The 19966-nt window shown below is 47.1% G+C and overlaps 1 long non-coding RNA gene across 1 annotated transcript, besides 2 other annotated features; it reads right to left on the bottom strand.

Annotated features, from left to right (window-relative positions):
- Window positions 1-3637: 3637 nt before the first annotated feature.
- LINC01778 (long intergenic non-protein coding RNA 1778) lies at window positions 3638-13270 on the bottom strand. Its single transcript, NR_146732.1, has 3 exons — window positions 13094-13270; window positions 11728-11791; window positions 3638-4416 (listed from the first exon to the last, which is right to left on the bottom strand). It is a non-coding gene; the product is annotated as a long intergenic non-protein coding RNA 1778 (long non-coding RNA).
- Window positions 13543-14045: an enhancer, noted in NCBI's record as "H3K27ac-H3K4me1 hESC enhancer chr1:31296724-31297226 (GRCh37/hg19 assembly coordinates)". NCBI's record gives its function as "activates a minimal SCP1, AML or CMV promoter by ChIP-STARR-seq in primed H9 embryonic stem cells {active_cell/tissue: H9 hESC(primed)}" and the evidence as "EXISTENCE:reporter gene assay evidence [ECO:0000049][PMID:30033119]".
- Window positions 18838-19344: an enhancer, noted in NCBI's record as "H3K27ac-H3K4me1 hESC enhancer chr1:31291425-31291931 (GRCh37/hg19 assembly coordinates)". NCBI's record gives its function as "activates a minimal SCP1, AML or CMV promoter by ChIP-STARR-seq in primed H9 embryonic stem cells {active_cell/tissue: H9 hESC(primed)}" and the evidence as "EXISTENCE:reporter gene assay evidence [ECO:0000049][PMID:30033119]".

Genomic DNA, 19966 nt, shown 5'->3' with positions numbered 1-19966 from the left:
GCAATTGCAGCCATTGTCTTCTAAATCTGCTTTCAGTGATGTCACACCGATAACTTGAAGTCAGTCATGGTGGGAGTGTAAATTGGCAAACACCACCAACAAGCAGCTCCTCTCCTCCTGCCAAGAGCTTGTTGTTAAACATTTACCATTACACCACTGGGCTCAGACATCTACAGATATAGGGGTAGGGAATGTGCCACAGCCAAGGGCAATGGGTTTTCCTGACCTCATGATGAAAGATTTTCTAGATTTTGGGGCATTGTATTTTCTAGAACCCTGGGCAGAGTATTTTTATAGTCACAAGAAATGTTTTCTACACCTTGGGATGGAGGGTTTTCCAGAGCCCTGAATAGAAGTTTTCTCAGATCTAAGAATAACATTTTCCAGAGCTGGGATTGAGAATTTTCTTAAGCCAGAAACAGAAAATAAATATTGGGGCCCCCAAATCACTAAGCTAAAGGGAAAAGTCAAGCTGGGAACTGCTTAGGGTCAACCTGCCTCCCATTCTATTCAAAGTCACCCTTCTGCTCAATGAGATAAATGCATAACTGATTGTCTCCTTTGGAGAGGCTGATGAGAAACTCAAAAGAATCCAACCATTTGTCTCTTAACTACCTGTGACCTGGAAGCCCCCTCCCCACTTCAAGTCTTACGTCTTTGCTTCGAGTCGTCCCGCCTTTCCAGACTGAACCCATGTTCATCCTACATATATTCATATATTCATATCTCATGTCTCCCTAGAATGTATAAAACCAAACTGTGCTCTGACCACCTTGGGCCCATGTCACCAGGACCTCCTGAGGCTGTCACGGGCATGTGTCCTCAACCTTGGCAAAATCAACTTTATAAATTAACTGACACCTGTCTCAGATTTTTGGGGTTCACAACCCCAATTCATAGTCATAGACTTTTCCAGAGGTAGGTAAAGAAAATTTTCAAGATGAAGGATCATCTCTCATTCAAGAGTCGAGAATGGCATCTCCTTCACAGGCAAAGGATGTTGGTGTTCGGGCTGCTTGACACTTCAGGACCTCCGTTCATACTGAGACCATATCAAACCTCTCTCTCCTTGGTTGCAGCTTCCAGACAGAGTGTGACAAATCTCACAGTGTCTCAGCCGATAAATCAACCCCCAAAGATGATCAAGTTCTAGGCCCCCAAGGTCAGAGTGAAAACTCATTGAGTGATTTTACTATTGTGAAAACAAAAGTCTGCAATCAAGTTATCTGCATGAATCCTATGCATGTAATGGACTTTGGGGCCTCTGTTGTCGACCAGTGTTAACTTCTCCTCCTTTCATCTTTATGTTGGTAAATTCTCGGTAACTTGTTCAGGTGCTCTAAATAAGTAGCAGTCAATAAACCTAGATTTTGGAATAAATAAGGACTTTGGTATCATCAGAATCATGTTGGGATCCTTGGACAAGTTACTTGACCTGGGCTTTAGTATCCTCGTTTGACACATGGCAATAATATAGCCATGTGTGCAAAGCTCCCCAGCATGGAAACTAAAAGGTAGAAGTTTTCTTGTTTCTTTTTTTTGGTTTGAGACAGGGTCTCACTCTGTCATCCAGGCTGGAGTACAGTGGCACAATCTTGGCTCTCTGCAACCTCCACCTCCCGGCTTCAAGCAATCCTCCCACCTCAACCTCCTGAGTAGCTGGGACCACAGGTGCATGCCACCACACCTAGCTAATTTTTTTTTTTTTTTTTTTTTTTTGTAGAGACGGGGTTTCACCATGTTGCCCAGGCTGGTTTTGAACTCCTGAGCTCAAGTGATCTGCCCGCTTCAGCCTCCCAAGGTGCTGGGATTATAGGGGTGAACCTCTGTGTCTGGTCTGAAGCCTTCTAATAAATGTAAGACACAGGCCGGGCGTGGTGGCTCACGCCTGTAATCCCAGCACTTTGAGAGGCAGAGGCGGACGGATCACAAGTTCAGGAGTTTGAGACCAGCCTAGCTAATATGGTGAAACCCTGTCTCTACCAAAAATACAAAAATTAGCCAGGAATGGTGGTGCATGCCTGTAGTCCCAGCTACTTGGAGGCAGGACAATCGCTTGAACCTGGGAGGTGGAGGTTGCAGTGAGCCAAGATCACGCCATTGCACTCCAGCCTGGGCAACAAGAGAGAAACCCTGTCTCTCTCTCTCTCTCTCTATATATATACATATACAAAAATTAGCTGGGCGTGGTGGCACGCACCTGTAGTCCCAGCTACATGGGAGGCTGAGGCAGGAGAATCGCTTGAGCCCGGGAGGCGGAGGTTGCAGTGAGCCGAGATCGTGCCACTGCACTCCAATCTGGGTGACAGAGTGAGACTCTGTCTCAAAAAAAAAAAAAAAAAAATATATATATATATATATATATATATATATATATATATATATATATATAAAATAAATGTAAGATACAATAGAGGCAGTGAGGAGAAGCAAGGCCTAGCCTACTGGGGTCTGACAGTATTTAACAGGGTGCCGTGGGAAGGCCTGGCTTCCTCCCGTGACCCTCAAGTTTCCACACTGTAAAATCAAGGGTTAAAACATGGATGGCACAACTAATACCCTCATCTGCTCAGACATGTATTAACATCCTATGAACTGAAGCTTGGCCTTCAGAAAGCTGCCCCAAAGCCAGTCCTTCAAGCAGGGAGAGTGGAATCATTTCTCAATATCTACAATTACATCCTTTGTTGAAGGGGCTAGGTGAGGTTCTGATGGTGTAAATATGGTGACTTGGCCAAGGCCTTGGAATAGAAGACACCTCTTGGCAAATCAATCGTCCTCCCTGGAGATTTCCCAGACAGAGATGAAAAACAAATAGGAAATTAAATGTTCCAGTGACAAGAGAGAAGCAAAGCCTTCCTTCTCTCTCTGAGAAGCACTCTGTGCCCAGAAGGGAAGTACAAGAATTTCCACCACATCAACTGAATCTGTTCCCGAAGATGTGTTGGAAGGAAAAATGTTTGAGTCTATGGCATTCCGGGCCCACCCAACTCCCAACAAATGAACTCAAATATCTCAAAAGCATTGTTAACACCTATCTAGCAACCTTTCAAGGACTTCTGCCTAAAACAAAGCGTTTTAATGGAAGCAAATAAAAACATTGTTATTATTTTAAAATCACCCAGTAACTTAACCCTAAGCAAACAATCAGTGGGTAGGTTTCTGTGCATTGATATTATTCAGTATAAGATGTGAAGGAGGTTTTCCTTCTGCACCACAACAAACATGTGCTGCAGTGTAAATAAACAAGCAAATCAATAGGTTAGTGATGTTAAGTATGTATCCATCTGAATTGGACCTGGGCTGGGAGGGCCTCCAGGTCTCTGGGTAAAGGAAGAAAAATCCGTGGAAGATAATTAAGAAAAAGACCTGATCCCCATAAGAGAACAGCCGAGATTCACCTGTAGCACACGCTGCATTCTCCCACCTGGATTTGAGTGCAGTATGAATGCTTCCAGCAGTGAGCATGTGTATAGTAATTACCACGTGGTTTTTTATTTGTTTAGTATGTTCAGGGTAACATTTTGTTTTGTGTGTAAGCACTCAGATGTGAGATTTCAGCTAGTGGGGATAATTGCAATGACTTACATTTCAATCAATATTTAATTTTTTTAAGTTATAGATCTTAGAATCTGGCTCTTTTGCTTTTCCTCTCAACTTATGGATCTTTGTATTTTATTTATGAACTTAGTAGTTTTTATATAAAAGCAAGATCACATTTACTTGTTCATTGATTCATATTCAATTAACTCATAAATTTGATAGATTAAATTCCCACAAACTTTTAACATCATTTAAACACTTAATTAAGAAAATTCCTTTAGATATTTCAAACTACAATTACAAATTTAATTTAGCCAATTCAAACACTTCAAACACCTAACAAGGGAGACTTACAAATATGATGAACAAATTATCCCTAAGCACTTAAGCAGCTTCTGTAAATCTAATCAGACATAAAATTTGTTGCTTAGATTTTGTTTTAAATATCATAAAAAGCAAGCAGAAATTATATAAAGCAAATCAACAATTATAAAATTTCTTACCGCAACTGTAAACACAACTTATACAAAAGTATCGATATTATGGATTTATTTCTTCATCATCTTGTTGTGGTAAAAGAAATATATGTGCATGGACCTATTCATTTCTCACTCCAATCAAGATGAACAAAATAGTACTATCTTGCATTTAAGCTAAGTATACATGGTAGGAAGCTTGGGTCCACGACATGGGTGGGGTAAATTTATGTGGTTGAATCCAGAAGATTGAACCATGGGATACCATTCCAAGATCCTGGACCCACAGAGGTCCCACGCTGGGTGGGCTTTCCAGGCTTCTGACGAGTTGGCTTCCATCTTGTGGTGAGATTCTATCAGGCACGTCACTGGTACTTTCTAAACTCTTGCCGTTTGTCTAGGAGTTAACCAATAATACATGTTTCAATTTTCTGCATCCTACATCCTTTCCTTGCAATGACCCGTCTCTTGATGCCCCAGTAGCTTGGGGATTCAAAGCTACTGGGTTTCACTTCATTCCCATACAATGACCCAGTTGTGTAATTTCTTACATTAAAACCTAATGTGCTCAAGTCTCTTGCCCAATTTTCTACAAGGTTGTCTATCTTTTTCTTACTCATTTGCAGGAGTTCTTTATATATATTCTGGATGTAAGCTGTTTGCCAGCTATGCCTGTTGTAAATACCTCCTTCCACTCATTTGAGATGGAGAGTTGGGGCCTCTCCTCTGAGACTCAATCCTCGATTACAGGCTTGAGATATTTTCTTGAATGTCCAACGGGCATGCCAGAATTTATATGGCAAGAATGAATATCTCATTTATGGATTCCCCATCTTCCCACTTCCCACTCCTTTTTTGAAACTCTCTCCAAATCAGAAATTGGCACCATTATTCATCCAGTTGCCTAGCTCCATTCTTTTAATCATTCTCTGGAACCCTTTTTATATCATAAAACAGAAATTATATACAGAAAGTACATGAAAATAAATGCATAATTTAACAAATAAAGATAAACACTCATGTAACTACCATTCAGGTCAAGAAATAACATTGCCAGCACTCAAAAACTTCTCATAAATCATATATATATATATATATATATACACACACACACACATATATACACATATATATACACATATATACACACATATATATACACATATATATATACACACATATATATACACACACACATATATATATATACACACACACACACACACATATATATATATATATACATATATATATATATACACATATATATATGTTTTGCCTATATTTGAACTTTATATTTTTGGAATTGCAGAATACTTTTTTTTTTTTGCATCTTCATGTTTTCTTTCAATATTATACTTGTAATTCTCATCCTGTTATGTATAGCTGTAGTTCATACATTTCAATTGTTACATATTATTTCACTATACTATATATGCCACATTCTACTCTTAATGAATATTTATGTTGTTCCAATTTCTAGCTATTATTATTATTATTATTTTGAGACGGAGTCTCACTCTGTTGCCCTGGCTGGAGTGCAATGGTGCGATCTTGGCTCACTGCAACCTCCGTCTCCCAGGTTCAAGCGATTCTCCTGCCTCAGCCTCCTAAGTAGCTGGGATTACAGGCACCCGCCACCACGCCCAACTAATTTTTGTATTTTTAGTAGAGACAGGGTTTCACCATGTTGGCCAGGCTTGAACGCCTTACCTTGTGATCCGCCTGCCTTGGCCTCCAAAAGTGCTGGGATTACAGGCGTGAGCCACCGCACCCGGCCCACTGTGTCCAGCCCCAGCTATTATTAACAGTGCTTCTGTACTTCTAAAAGTAGTCCTACACATTTTAATGATTACACATATGCATGAATTTGTTTAAGGTATATACGTAGGACTATAATTGCTGGTCACAGAAAGTTTTCAGCTTTCCTAGAAAAAGCCAAGCTCTTTTCCAAAGTGGTTGTAGCATTTTTTTTTCTTTTTACCTTGAGTCAGTATTAGTAAGCTATATTTTTCTCAGGATTTACCTATTTGATTTAAAATTTCAAATGTATTGGCATGCAGTTTTTCATCACATTCTCTTCTCTTTTTTTTTTTTTTTTTGAGACGGAGTCTCGCTCTGTTGTCCAGGCTGGAGTCCAGTGGCGCAATCGCGGCTCACTGCAAGCTCCGCCTCCCGGGTTCACGCCATTCTCCTGCCTCAGCCTCCCGAGTAGCTGGGACTACAGGCGCCCGCCAGCACGCCCGGCTAATTTTTTCTATTTTTAGTAGAGACGGGATTTCACCGTGGTCTCGATCACCTGACCTCGTGATCTGCCCGCCTCGGCCTCCCAAAGTGCTGGGATTACAGGCGTGAGCCACCGCACCCGGCCCACATTCTCTTCTTTTTGATGTCTATAGCATCGGTGGTGATGCACCCACCCTTTATTTTTGATATTGTTTGTGCCTGTTCTTCATTATTCTTGGTCAGTGTTCTCAGGGCAAAAGTGGCTTCTATGATCGTTTTCCTCTCTGGGTTCTTATATATTTCCTTCCAGCTAGCCCTGGTTATTTCTTACTATCTTGTTAGCCCTTCATTTATTTGAATAAGTTTTTAAAAGATTATCAAACGGCCCGGCGCAGTGGCTCGCACCTGTAATCTTAGTACTTTGGGAGGCCGAGGGGGGCGGATCACGAGGTCAAGAGATCGAGACCATCCTGGCCAACATAGTGAAACCCCGTCTGTGCTAAAAATACAAAAATTAGCTGGGTGTGTGGCTTGTGCCTGTAGTCCCAGCTACTCGGGAGGCTGAGGCAGGAGAATTGCTTGAACCTGGCAGGTGGAGGTTGCAGTGAGCCGAGATGCCGCCACTGCACTCCAGCCTGGTAACAGAGTGAGAGTCCGTCTCAAAAAAAAAAAAAAAAAGTTATCAAACATCTTTATTTGTATCTGATGAGAAGCATGGTTTCAAAATCAGAGCCCTCTGATTCTGGAAGTCCATGGTCAAGATTCCTCTTTCTCTCACGTCCAGTCCATTGGAAGTCCCGTCAGCTCTACCTCTAAAGCAGATCCTGATCACGCCCACAGCTCTCTAGCTAGCACGCTGTTATACCATATTTCACAAGGGCTCTCTTGACCCAATTTTGAGATCTTGGCGAAAAACTCTCAATTCCTCTTTGCGGGCACTTTGCTCAGCCTGCACCCCAACCCCTTTCCTTACTGGGCTCTAACACTCTTGGGTCACAACAATACACACAACTTCCAGGAATTATTTGCTAAACATCAAGGGATGAATACTTCTTCCTTGGGTCTGTGAAATCACTCAAAATTCCCAACCCACAGGAAGCCCCTACACCTGCTAACCCCACTCCACTTGCCATAGAGAAGCTGCCTCCTACATTCCAGCTTGCTGTTCCCCTGTCCTGGGTGCAACCAGGGGGTTGCATGTAGGGACACGGCCCCGCATGGCAACTTTCTCCCACTTGATGCTGTAAGTAATAGAGTTCTGCTTTTCATCTCATCAGAGGTCAGTGTGTCCGTCCTACCATCATCAGACCCTAATGTTATAACAGTAAACCCCTCCCCACCAGCTTCAGTCTGTCATCTCCAGCTTGAAGTCTTCAAATAGCCCCCTCTCTCCCTCCTTTCTATTACAGCCTGCTAGACTTCATCTGTCATAGAGCCCAAGTCATAAATCACATCCTTCCCTTCCCTGAATAAGAGGCTCTTAGCATTGAAATCAGACTGAAACCCAAACTTCTTCCTATGGCTTAAAAGGTCCTGTATGGCTTTGCTTCTGCCAATCTCTCTGACCCCATCCACTATTCCACTCTTGTTCAGTCTCACAGTCCTAGTTCTTAGAACATCTTAGAACACAGTAGGCACTCATAAATCTTCGATAAGTGTCAGGTAAACAGAAACCACTCTAGGTACATCAGACAAAGTGATTTAATTTAGGGAATTGGTTATAGAAACGTTGGAAGGACCAGTGGAGTGAAAAAGAAATGTGATGTCATTTTGGGCTCACAAGCCTGTACTCACCATCAATGCTGCTTGACTATTGTCACTGCCGCTGATAAAAGTTAGAAGCTTGGACTCTCTCTGATGTTAGTTCCAGAATCTCGCATGGATACATCCCACTGGCAGAACCCAGTCGAAATCCAACTCGAAGGATATCTGGGAAATGTAATTTTTTTTTATTTTTGAGACAGACTCTCACTCTGTCACCCGGGCTGGAGTGCAGTAGTGCGATCTCGGCTCACTGCAACCTCTGCCTCCCGGGTTCAAGCGATTCTCCTGCCTCAGCCTCCCGAGTAGCTGGGATTATAGGGATGCACCACCATGGCCGGCTAAGTTTTGTATTTTTAGTAGAGGTGGGGTTTCACCATTTTGGTCAGGCTGGTCTCGAACTCCTGACCTCGTGATCTGCCTGCCTCGGCCTCCCAAAATGCTGGGATTACAGGTGTGAGCCACTGTGCCTGGCCGGGAGATGCAATTTTTAAACTTCTAGGGCTGGTGATTCCAGGAGGAATGTAGAAGGCCAGGAATGGGGTATGGGTGTTTGGCACGGTAAGAAAGGCCTTTGAATGGCCCTGACTGCAGACCTCATGGGAATTTTGTCATGTGCCCTCTTTTCTGCCCTGGCTCCGCTTGTCCATGTTTTTGGCCATAAAGTGGCTTGGCCGGGGCCCATCATGCTGCACATCTTGGCCAGTATGCCTCACCTTCAGACTCCATGAACCTTGCTGGGGTCAACAGCTATGGGGAGAACAGCTTCCATTTCCCCCACTCTAGGCCTCATGCACTGCAGAACCAAAATTAGTTCTTCCTGTTGAACCCAGAACCTCATCAGGCTGCTCATGTAAATGAAATTTGAACAATTGTGGCCGCTAACCTGTGACCATGGAACTTAAATCCAGCTCAGGTTGCTGATCAGAACAGATGCCACAGCAACCATTCCGTGCTTCCTCTTACCTTCCCATCCCTCCAATCTATCCAAATTTCCCCCTCCTACTCCAGAAGCCAGGAATGAAGGTTATTCCAAAGAGTTGTCTAGATCCAGGGGCACAGACAGCTCCATGCCTAGAGTTTGGAGGGGTTAAGGTGTAGGCTGAGCAAAGTGCCCACAAGGAGGAATTGAGAGGTTTTAGCCAGGATCTCAAAACTGGGTCAAGACAGCACTTGTGAAATATGATATTACAGCATGTCAGCTAGAGAGGCCCTTCAGGTCCCTATATAGTCAATCTTTTTGGGCCAGGGATGTCAAGTCCAGATCTTGGAAGAAGAGTATGGACAGTCAGTCTTCCAGGCCAGTCAAGTGGTTCTCCATCTTTACAGAGAATCAGCCCTCCAGAGCCATGTATAGAGAGTTCTTTGGCTTCACAGTCAGAGTGTCCTCCAGAAATGGGATTGGATAATCTGGAGCCAGGAGGGCAGGACAGTGCAAAACCGGTGAGGAAGGGTCTTCCAGAAACAGGTTGCAGAATTCCAAAACTAGGAGCAGAAAGTCCTCTGGAGCCATGGAGTTTTCCCTAGAGCCAACAATGTTGTGGGACTATAAATGTCTCTGGAACATTTTCCAGAGCCAAGGACAGAGATATTTCCAGAGCCAGATACAGCAAAATTTTTTGCTGATCAACAGTCATAGTGTTTTCTAGAGCTAGAAATAGAACCTCTTGAAGATGTAGAACAATCCATTTTTTTGCTATAAAGGATGGCATCTCTTCCAGTGCTGAGGGACACTGCCCTTCCTCCATCAAAGGCTGGAAAAGGCTGTAGGGCACTGTGCTGTGGGAGCCTCCAGTGACAATGAAGTTAATGCAGTTGATTTGTCCTTATAGATATCACCCACTTGGCCCTTTCTGCAAGAGATCCTGAACCTATGATCACTTCAAGATCCATACTCATGCAGAGACCTCATTAAAACATACTCTAGCCTGTAATCCCAACACTTTAGGAGGCGGAGGTGGGTAGATCACTTGAGGTCAGGAGTTCAAGACCAGCCTGGCCAACATGGTGAAACCGTGTCTCTACTAAAAATACAAAAAATTAGCTGGGCATTGTGGCAGACACTGGTAATCCCATCTACTTGGGAGGCTGAGGCAGGAGAATCGCTTGAACCTGGGAGTGGAGGTTGCAGTGAGCCAAGATCATGCCATTGCACTCCAGCCTGGGCAGCAGAATGAGAATCCATCTCAAAATAAAAATAAAAATAAAAACACACTCTCCTGTGTCTCCTTCCGAGGACCCTCTACTCAGAGAACTTGGGTGGTGGTGCCTCACTCAGAAAATATGCCCAAGCCTAGCTGGTTCTCTTCTATACCCTCAGATGGGGCATAACCCTTTGACTCCTACTGCTTTTAGAGGAGCGCTTCCACACAACAGGGCAGGTACATGAAGCACTGATGTGCAGAAGATTCTAGGCCCTCTTTTGTTTTCATCAAGTAGCAGATTCACCTCTTCTTTTAGTGATTATATTGGCAAATCACTCTGATGCCCACAAGTTCTAAATAAACCACCTGAGCAGTCCTAGAGTCAACACATTGCTATGCCAAGAACATGGGCCTTGGAACCTGACAGGCCTGGGTTCAATTCAGTAACACTGTGTGGTCTTGGAGGAGATACTTTCTCTCTCTGGACCTTTCAGATAGGATTAACAATAGCCATCCTGCAGGGCTGTCGTGAATGTTTAATGTAACAGTATGTGAAGGGCCTACATGTGCCCTGGCTAGAGGAGGTTCTAGTCACTGTTCAGTTGCAAGACAGACCGGATTTGGGAAAGTGCAGTGAGGGGGAAACTGGGTGCCTAAAAAGACTCTGGTTCTGCTGGTCAACCCAACTGTGTGACTCTGAGCAGTCACTTGCCTTCTCTGGCCCTCAGTTTCCTCATATGTCAAACCAAAGGTTGAATAAGAGGATTCTAAGGGCATTGCCAGCTCTGACATCCTGAAGGTTCCTTAATTGGAAGATCTGAGTTGATTCTTTTGACATTTAAGAAGCCACTCAATTGTCCTGTCTTGATTCATTGGGAGAGGACATCTGTAACCACTGCATCAGGGATTTCCGTGAGAGTTTGACGGTATTCATGTGGTATTATGACAAAAATCCAGGACTCAGCTGGGCATGGTGGCTGATGCCTGTAATCCCAGCACTCTGGGAGGCCGAGGCAGGTGGTTCACTTGAGGTCAGGAGTTTGAGACCAGCCTGGCCAACATGGCAAAACCCCATCTCTACTAAAAATACAAAAATTAGCCGGGCTTGGTGGCACCTACCTGTAATCCCAGCTACTCGCGAGGCTGAGGCAGGAGAATTGCTTGAACCTGGGAGGCAGAAGTTTCAGTGAGCTGAGATCATGTCATTTCACTCCAGCCTGGGTGACAAGAGTGAGACTCTGTCTCAAAAATAATAATAATAATAATAAAAATAAAAACCCAGGACTCTTGTCCCACCATCTACTTTGTTTCATGTTTTTCCTCGAGAGAGTGAATAACAAGTACGTGTGACAAATGAGAAGTCAAGACACCACTCTGTAATGAGTGAAGCAAACACCGGTATCCCAAAGCAGGGCTATGCCACACTGGAGTCCTCACCAGCCCTCTCCATCCTCCTCTAACACCCATAATAATGCCATTACTATAGCTGATTGATTGGATAGTTACATGTGCCAGGCAACAAACCTTATTTAATTCTCATAACAACCCAATGATTGCACTGTAATGACCCCGCTTACCAGAAAATGGGCCTCATCAGTCTTCAGAAATCTGACCCAACAGATAGGCAACTTTTCCTCCCTGCTGAGGGGTGATAGGAAGGGCAGACATGGTGAGCAGGGGGGCAGTCCCAGCTCCTAGGTGGTGGCTACGACATGACTAAAGAGATGGGAAGCAGGTGCATGGAGGTTGGAAAGGAAGTGCAGAGGCTGGGAGGGGTGGGTGGAGGCTGGGGTAAGGGTAATGGGGAGGGGGCTGATGGGGGTTTGGATTTGTGGAAGCGTACTTGGGATGAAGCTCTGTGTTGAGTGCTGGGAACGGAGGTGAATCACAGCCTCTGTGTGTGTGTGTGTGTGTGTGTGTGTGTGTGTGTGTGTAGAGGGTGGGGAGATGTGAAAAGAGATAGACATCTTTTCAATGCAGCATGATTCTTGAAACGAAAGTTGCATACACAAGCTGACACAAATATCATATGGAAGGAGAGCGGTGATCCTATCTGGCTGCCAGAGAAGCCCTCAGAGCCTCCCAGGTGAGTTGGTGCCATCTCCTCAGTCACCTGAACTATGGCTCCACGTCCTTTACACCTCCTCCTGAGTTTGGGTCTCTCCATCTCTACTCCAGCTCGGGTAGCCTTAGTCCCCCCTGCCCTGACTTTCCCCAGTCCCTGCAATGACTGGTCTCCTAGTCCCCTCCAGCCCATCCTCCACACAGCTGCAAGAGTGGAGATCTTCCTAAAATGCAAACCTAATCATAGCCCTCTCCCCTTCCATCCCCCAACTGCCTGAGAATGTGGTCCAAGATCCCTTAGCACGACATTCAAGCCCTTTGGGATCTTGTTCCTGCTTCCCCTTTCAGCTTTACTTTAAACTCCTCCTCCTCTCCAACACCCCGAACCCCACCATCTAATTTCCTGCCATAGTGCCTCGAGTGTTCCTTGCTTTTTACTGCCTCCAGTCTTTGCGCAGGCTGTCCCCTCTGCTGAGAATCCCTTCCCCACCGTTCCTCATCTGGCTCTTTCAGGTCCTGGCTCTGTATCCCTTTCTCCCAGCAGTCCTCCTGATTCGGTAGGTTGGATAGGGACCCCTCCTCTGTGTTCCCACAACCTCCGTGCTCCCTCTATTTTAATCCTTAACACACTGCCTTGCCATTTTCTCCTGGACTGCTTGCTTGATCAGACTGTGGGGGTGGGGGGCTTTGTGAGGGCAGGGGTGGAGGTGGACTCATCTTTGCGTCTGCAGAGCCCAGGTGCACCTGGATGCTGGAGGGTGCTCATTGCTGTTTGCAGGGTGTATGGATGAGTGTGTGGTTCCAGGTTGTGGGGGCGGGGTGGTCTTGGCAAGGGACTGTGGGCCAGGTTGAGGGAGAGGGCCGAATGGGCGTCTTTACAGGAATTCTGATGCCTGGGCCAGCAGGAGCTCAGCTTTCCCCTTCTGGCCTGAGTAGGGGGTCTATGGGGCTCAGTCGGAGGGGAGGGGTCCCTGGGCCCCATCATAGTCTGGAAAGAGGAGTGGACGCGGCTCTCCCGCCCGGAGCTTCCTCCGAACATCCCTCTGCAACGCCGGCCTGGGCTGTCATAGCAACAGCCCGCCCCGGCGGGGGCGCCGGCCAATGGCAGCCGGTGCTGGTGAGGTAATGTCCCGGTCTGGAAGCCCATTGGCTCCATTTTTGTCCACTTCTGGGTCCGGGCCTGCGGTGGGAGCCGCGAGGGGGAGGACAGAGCATGCGCAGGGAGCCCAGCTGTCTACACCGGCGGCGCGATTCCTCTCCCTGCGCTCCCCGCTCTCCCTCTCAGTTCTGGGCTGGCTACCTCTGTCCTTCTCCTCTCTCTCTGCGTGCCGTACCTGTCCCTGGTTGTGTCGGTCGTTTGGTGCGTCTGTCTCCCTGACTCTCTTGGGGTCTCGGTGGCCCCTTCTTCTTGCCCCTGTCTCTGCCCCGGGGTCTCTGACTCTGAGTGCGCCTCCTCGTCTTGTCCAAACAAGGGCGCAGTGAGAGTTCCTTGACTTGCAGCCAGAAGGTGACTCACTGCTTCAAACCGCAAGGCCGCCCGGCAAGCCTCCGGCACCTTCTTCCCGAGTCTGTGGGAAGCTCTGGCACACACACAGGCCGAGGGCTTGAGATCCCGAGAGGCCCGGGCTGGCCTTTCCCTGGTTGGCCTCACCAGACCTTTGTTCTTGTTGACTTGTTGCCCAGTCAAGGGAAAGGCAGGACGGTCTGGGCTTTGGGGAAGGGAAGGGGACAGATTTAGAGAACAATTGGGCATGAGCTTCCATAATGCCAGCAGGGGAGGTTAGACAGCTGGAGGGACTTCCAGAAAACTACAAAGGCATAGGCACTGGGCCGAGTGAATGAAAAGGGCAGTTGGACTTTGCTCTACCCACCCCTCTGTCTGTCCATCCATCAACACAACACATTGATGCCCATCAGTGCCAGGTTCTGGGCTTGGCGATGGCTCAGTCCCCTGAGCGCCTGGAATCACAGCCCAGTCTGGGAGGCAGGCACACAAATCCTGGGTTTCAATGGGATTCCAGAAGAAGGCAAAACTCACCCTGCCAGGTGGGGTGCTTGACTCAGGCAGGGAAGCTTTGTGGAGGAGGGGGTCTTTGAGCTGGTGTTTGGGAGGATGGCCAAAAGCTTGTTTGGATCAGCCTGGGCAGGGCACAATGACAGACCCATCTGGAAGGATCAGGGGTGGTTGGAAGGTCCAGGAATGTGAATACCTGCATGAGGGAGTTTGCACTTGAACTCAGGGGCAGTTTGCAGCCACCCAGGGATCAGAGCAAGGGAGAAGTGTGGTCAAAGTGGTTTTCGTGCAGTCATGCCGGTGACAGAATCTTGGCTGTCTTGCTCAATGCTGCACCCCAGCCCAGGGTAGAGTGCCAGGCCCACAGTGAGTGTTCACACACTTGTCGAAGAAAAGCGTGAACTGAAGGGGAGAGGTTCTGATGGATGAGGGCTGAAATGATGAGGTCGTCTTCATGTGGTGGTGGAAGGGAGAGGAAAAGGGATGGGTTCAAGAAAGGTAAAGGACAGGTAGAAGTGATGGGCCCTACTGGTTTACTGGAGGTTGTGGGGGTGATGGAGAGGAATCTGCTTGGGGTAACACCTATGTTTCTGGCTTGAGCAACTAAAGGTTGGGGGAGAGGGAATACGGGTGGGGTAGATTTCAAGGGAAAGGTGGTTAGTTCAGAGTTGGAGCCTCAGCATCTGAGATGCTTGTGAGACCTCTGGGTGGGGCTGGGTGGGAGAGGTCTGGGCTGGGGTGGCCTGCATAAAGGTGGTGGCTGACGCTGTAAGTAGACATGAGCTGCTTAAGAACTGGGACATGGCCAGGCGCAGTGGCTCACACCTGTAATCCCAGCACTCTGGGAGGCCGAGGCAGGTGGATCACGAGGTCAGGAGATCGAGACCGTCCTGGCTAACACGGTGAAACCCCGTCTCTACTAAAAATACAAAAAATTAGCTGGGGTGGTGGCAGGCGCCTGTAGTCCCAGCTACTCGGGAGGCTGAGGCAGGGGAATGGCGTGAACCCGGGAGGTGGAGCTTGCAGTGAGCCGAGATCGCGCCACCGCACTCCAGCCTGCGCGACAGGGCGAGACTCCGTCCCAAAAAAAAAAAATAAATAAATAAATAAATAAAGGAAAAAGAAAGAACTGGGACATTTACGAGCAGGTTTCTCTGGTGAGGGGGTCTTTTTGAACCCCAAGGAGACCTGGGTAGGAGTCAGAAGTCCTGGGTTTTTGTGGATTCTGACACTGGCTTGCTGTGTGACCTCGGGCAAGTCATTCCTCTCTGGGCCACTGTCCCCTGATCTCTCAGCAGAGCCTGTCAGAGGTGGAGAGTGACCTGGACCACTTCTGTTTTTTAAGGCCTCTGGATATGGTTAAAAAAAGAGATGTGCCCTAACAGGGTAACAAAAATTGTGGTTATTGACTATGTTCACATTTACATGTTAACATTGTGAACAGACACAAGGATTGTGAATAGACTGTCATTTGAAGGTTAAAGTCCAGACCAGAGTCATGTTGGGAAATTTGTCCCCTGGTTCTGGCCTTCCTGGTTGCTTGGAGTAATTGCCCTTTTAGATAGGAAAGCTGCCTGCCTGGGGGTAGAGAAGGGGTGAGGGTACGTGGAGGCCAGAAGGAGCTGGGCCAAGGTTTTTGTCTGAGCAGGAGCTCATAAGTTCTTGCTCTAAGCCTGGGCATTCATGCCCCTCTTCTAATTCCTGCCAGCTCCCAACTTGGAGTCTTTTCTCCAGGAGCCATCAGAGGCCATGCCAGTCCCAAAGCAGGCAAGAACACTGTTGCAGCTCCTGCAGGACCACCTTCCTTTCCTGTTCATCCCTCAGCTCCTCCAAGATGAGAGCATTAGATGAGCCGGGCCCAGGCTCTGCCTTTAACTCACCCCTGGCCAGGTCACTGCCTCTCTGAGTCTCACGGTCTTGACATCTCTATGTCCTCAAGCTGTAGCCTGGTGGCTGGCACAAAGTACATACTTAGTAAATGTTGGGTGAGTTGAAATGAATGGTGAAGTTGTTTATTTCACTGGAGCAGGGGTTGAGGGAAGAGTGGTAGAGAGAGATCATGTTGTTGGGGCTGTCAAAATAAGATCACATCTGCAAATGTGCTTTGGAAAAGGTAAATCAGATATTTTAAAGTCAGCATTGTATCATATTTGGCCCAATGCCCCTGAAAAGCTTCCAGAGCAAAGAGTAGACACAAAATGAGTTTTTCTCCCACAAAACCTTTTTTTTAATTTCACAATAATTAATCATAAATACATTCTGCTTAGCCCAGTGGTCAAGAACTAGGACCCAGTCAGGTGTGGGGGCTCACACCTGTAATCTCAGCACTTTGGGAGGCCAAGGCGGGCAGATCACTTGAGGTCAGGAGATCGAGACCAGCCTGGTCAATATGGGGAAATGCTGTCTCTACTAAAAATACAAAAATTAGCCAGGTGTGGTGGTATGTGCCTGTAGTCCCAGCCACTCCGGAGGCTGAGGCAGGAGAATCACTTGAACCCGGAAGTGGAGGTTGCAGTGAGGTAAGATGGTTCCACTGCACTCTAGCCTGGGCAACAGAGCGAGACTCTGTTTCAAAAAAAGAAATGAGGTGGGTATGCTGTTTTCAAATCCTGACTCCATTGCTTTCTGGCTGTTTGACCTTTGATAAGTGACCCGACTTCCTTGTATATCAGGCTGAAATGTAAACTGCAAATAATACCATTATCATCTCATGGGGTTGTTATGAGGATTTCATGAACTATTAGATATAAAGTATTGAAGAAAGTGCCTGGCCCATGTGAACGTTTCAGAAATGTTAGCTTTTATTATTGTTAGCAATGATAGGGCTTTCTCAAACCCCTCCCCACAGCTGCCTGCTCTTAGTGGCTGGTGGTTGTGGCAGATGCTACAGGCGGGCCCACTCAACGAGGAGGCCCGTTTAGCTCTCCTCCCTCTACTCAGGGCAGCGGTTCTCAATTTGGGCTTGCACATTAGAATCAACTGGGAGCTTGGAAAACTCCCAGTGTCGGAGCTGTACCCTCAGAATCTCCAAGAGTGTGACCCAGGACTCAGAGCTGGCTGAGGCATCCCCCTGATCCACGCTAAGGTGCAGCCACAGTTGAGAACTGGTGATCAAGGGCAGTGCTTCTCAAAGCCTGGACTCCAGACCAGCCGCATCAGCATCACCTGGGAACGTCTGAGAATGCAAATTCTCAGGCCCCACGCCAGAGCAGCTGCAGAATCAGAAACTCCAGGGGAGTGGGGCCAGCAGTCTGTTTCAACAGCTCCCCCTCCCCCAGGGGCTAAAGCTTGAGAACCAGCAATCTAGTGGCTGAAAGGACAATGTGTGCTTTTTTGAAAACCACTGCTGTAAGCTGCATTCTGTTATTCCCTGACATGAATAGGGACCAATTCCTGCCCCCTAATAACCATACCTTTTGTTATCCTCAGCTGCTTTATATGTATTCTCATATTTAGACCTCAGAGCAACCTAATACCAATAACTCACCTCCATTTGCTAGAATGAGGAACTCCCGTGACCTGTCCAAGGCCTCATAAACTAGTTACTCCAAGGCTAATTCCTCTGACCTTTGGCCAAGCAGAGAAAGAGTCTTGGATTCTGTTTGAGACCCTGAGCCCTGACCTTGTCAGTGGAGGGGCTGCAGGTCTTGCGCTTCCTCTGGGAGCCCAGCTGCTCCTCTGTCCAGATGTTGTAAGGAAGAAGAGAGGCATGGGGAAGGGAAAGCTCTTTGAGATCATTGGTCCTCTAAGGTATCCCAAGAAACATCTGAGAGTTGCAGACTCAAAGGTTAGAAAATGAGGGGAGATGTCTCCCAGGGGTCTCCTGCCCCACACGTCGGTAGGGAGATGCACAGTGTTTGGCGCGGCACCTAGCACCTAGCACGGAGTCAGCACTCCAAACGGTAGCCACCATCATTGTGAACAACACAAGATTACTGATAAATGTAGACAACAGGGTACTATTTTATATTTACTATTCTTTATTATTGCTGTATTTATACTTTTATTGTGGTAAAAATGCACATACCTTAAAAGGTCTTTCATCTTGTAAGTTTTCCCATACAACTTCCAAATATAGATAGTGCTGCTGGCGCAGCTGAAATGCTAATGCTACCCTAGTTATCAGCTGGGGTATATGGAAGAGCCACTGGCCATGGAGTGGGACAGACCTGGGCTTAAACCTCAGCTCCACCACTTATCTCTGGGACTGTGGGCCTTTGGTTTCTCCTCCTTCAACTGGGAAGCACATGACAGAATGTATACTTCTCTGCAGACATGAGGGGTTGTTATTCTTGTCGAGGGAGTTGGTGGCCATGCTGACATTAATGAAGAATCAAAGCCTGTGCATGCTCAGCCTGAGACAGACTCCCCGCCTTCAGATGCCTGGACCAGACTCATTTCTTGCCTTTTAATAACCAAATGTGGAAAGGCATCCACCACGAACATGCCTGGCCTCTCTCTGTCCCTCCCTGACTCCTGCCCACGGAGCTGATGGGCGAGTGTGGGGTGAGGGACCTGTTCAGCTTGCCTCCCACTGGGCATAGCCTATGTCCTCAGTGCAGCCTGCCTGCAGAGGGGCTTATGTTCTGGGTGGTTCTTCAGTAGCAGCTGAGCTCAGCAGGCTGGCTTTGCCCCCTGGGGAGGTCTGTGCTTGTCCAGCACTGCCAGGGACAGAGAGGATGAGTCTAATTCAGGGGCGGGGGTATTCACAAGCCCATTTGGCTAAAGCCGCCTCCTCCAGGCAGCTTTGTCTGTGACATCACTTCACATCACTGGCTTTCCAACTCACCTGAGCACAAGCCAGATTCCTCATGGCAACCTGGAGAGCTCTCACCATCTCGATCCCGGTCCCCTCTGGCCTCTTCTAACCTTTACTTCCCCTGTGCCCCTCCCTCTCACTCCATTCCAGTTACAATGGCTGTGCTGATTCTGAGCTCCTCAGGCCAGCTCCTGCCTCACGGCCGTTGCCTGGAATGCTCTTCCTCCAGATGAATGCATGACCATACTTAGCCGCTTAGGTCTTAACTCAAGTATCACGCTCTTGGCTTCTTATGATTGCAACACCCCCTCCCCCCACCAACCCCTTGACATTTCATTCCCCTTTCCCTGCTTTTCTTCTCCTTAGCACTTACTACTAACACATTTTATTTCATTTACTTACCTTGTTTATTGTGTCTTTCCCACCAAAATCATCACTCCATCGGACCAAGGTTTTTTTTTTGTTTTCTTTTTTTATTGCGAGATCCCCAGTGCTTAGTGCAGGCACATAGTAGGTGCTCAGTAAATATTTCTCAAACGAATGAATGGAGCTGGCATTATTCTGCCCACCATCTGACTGTCACCGGCATGTTCTAAACTCAGGAGGGGAACTGGGATGTCACTTTTTGAGTCCCCTCACATTCTAGCTGTGCCCAGGTCAGTGTGGCTGAGTAGACACAATGTAGTTTGGGCCGTGCATCCAGAATGCCTGAGTTTTAATTCCCATTGGAACACCCTCTTAGCTGTGCTTCTGAACACCTCTGTGCCTAGTCTCCCCATCTGCAAAGTGGGGATGATGAGATCACCTCCCTTAGAGTGTTATTATGAGGGTGGAGGAAGAAATACAGGTATGGTGCTTAGCACAGTGGCTGGCATAGGGTAAGTGCTCAATAAATGTCAGCTGGCATTGATCAGCCTCAAGGTTTGAAGGAGGTGACCACCTCCCCTGCCTGCATCTCAGGATGGTTTGGAGACCAGGG

Source organism: Homo sapiens, chromosome 1 (genome assembly GCF_000001405.40).
Source record: "Homo sapiens chromosome 1, GRCh38.p14 Primary Assembly".
NCBI classification, from domain to species: domain Eukaryota; kingdom Metazoa; phylum Chordata; class Mammalia; order Primates; family Hominidae; genus Homo; species Homo sapiens.
This window is presented reverse-complemented; position numbering and strand designations above follow the sequence as displayed.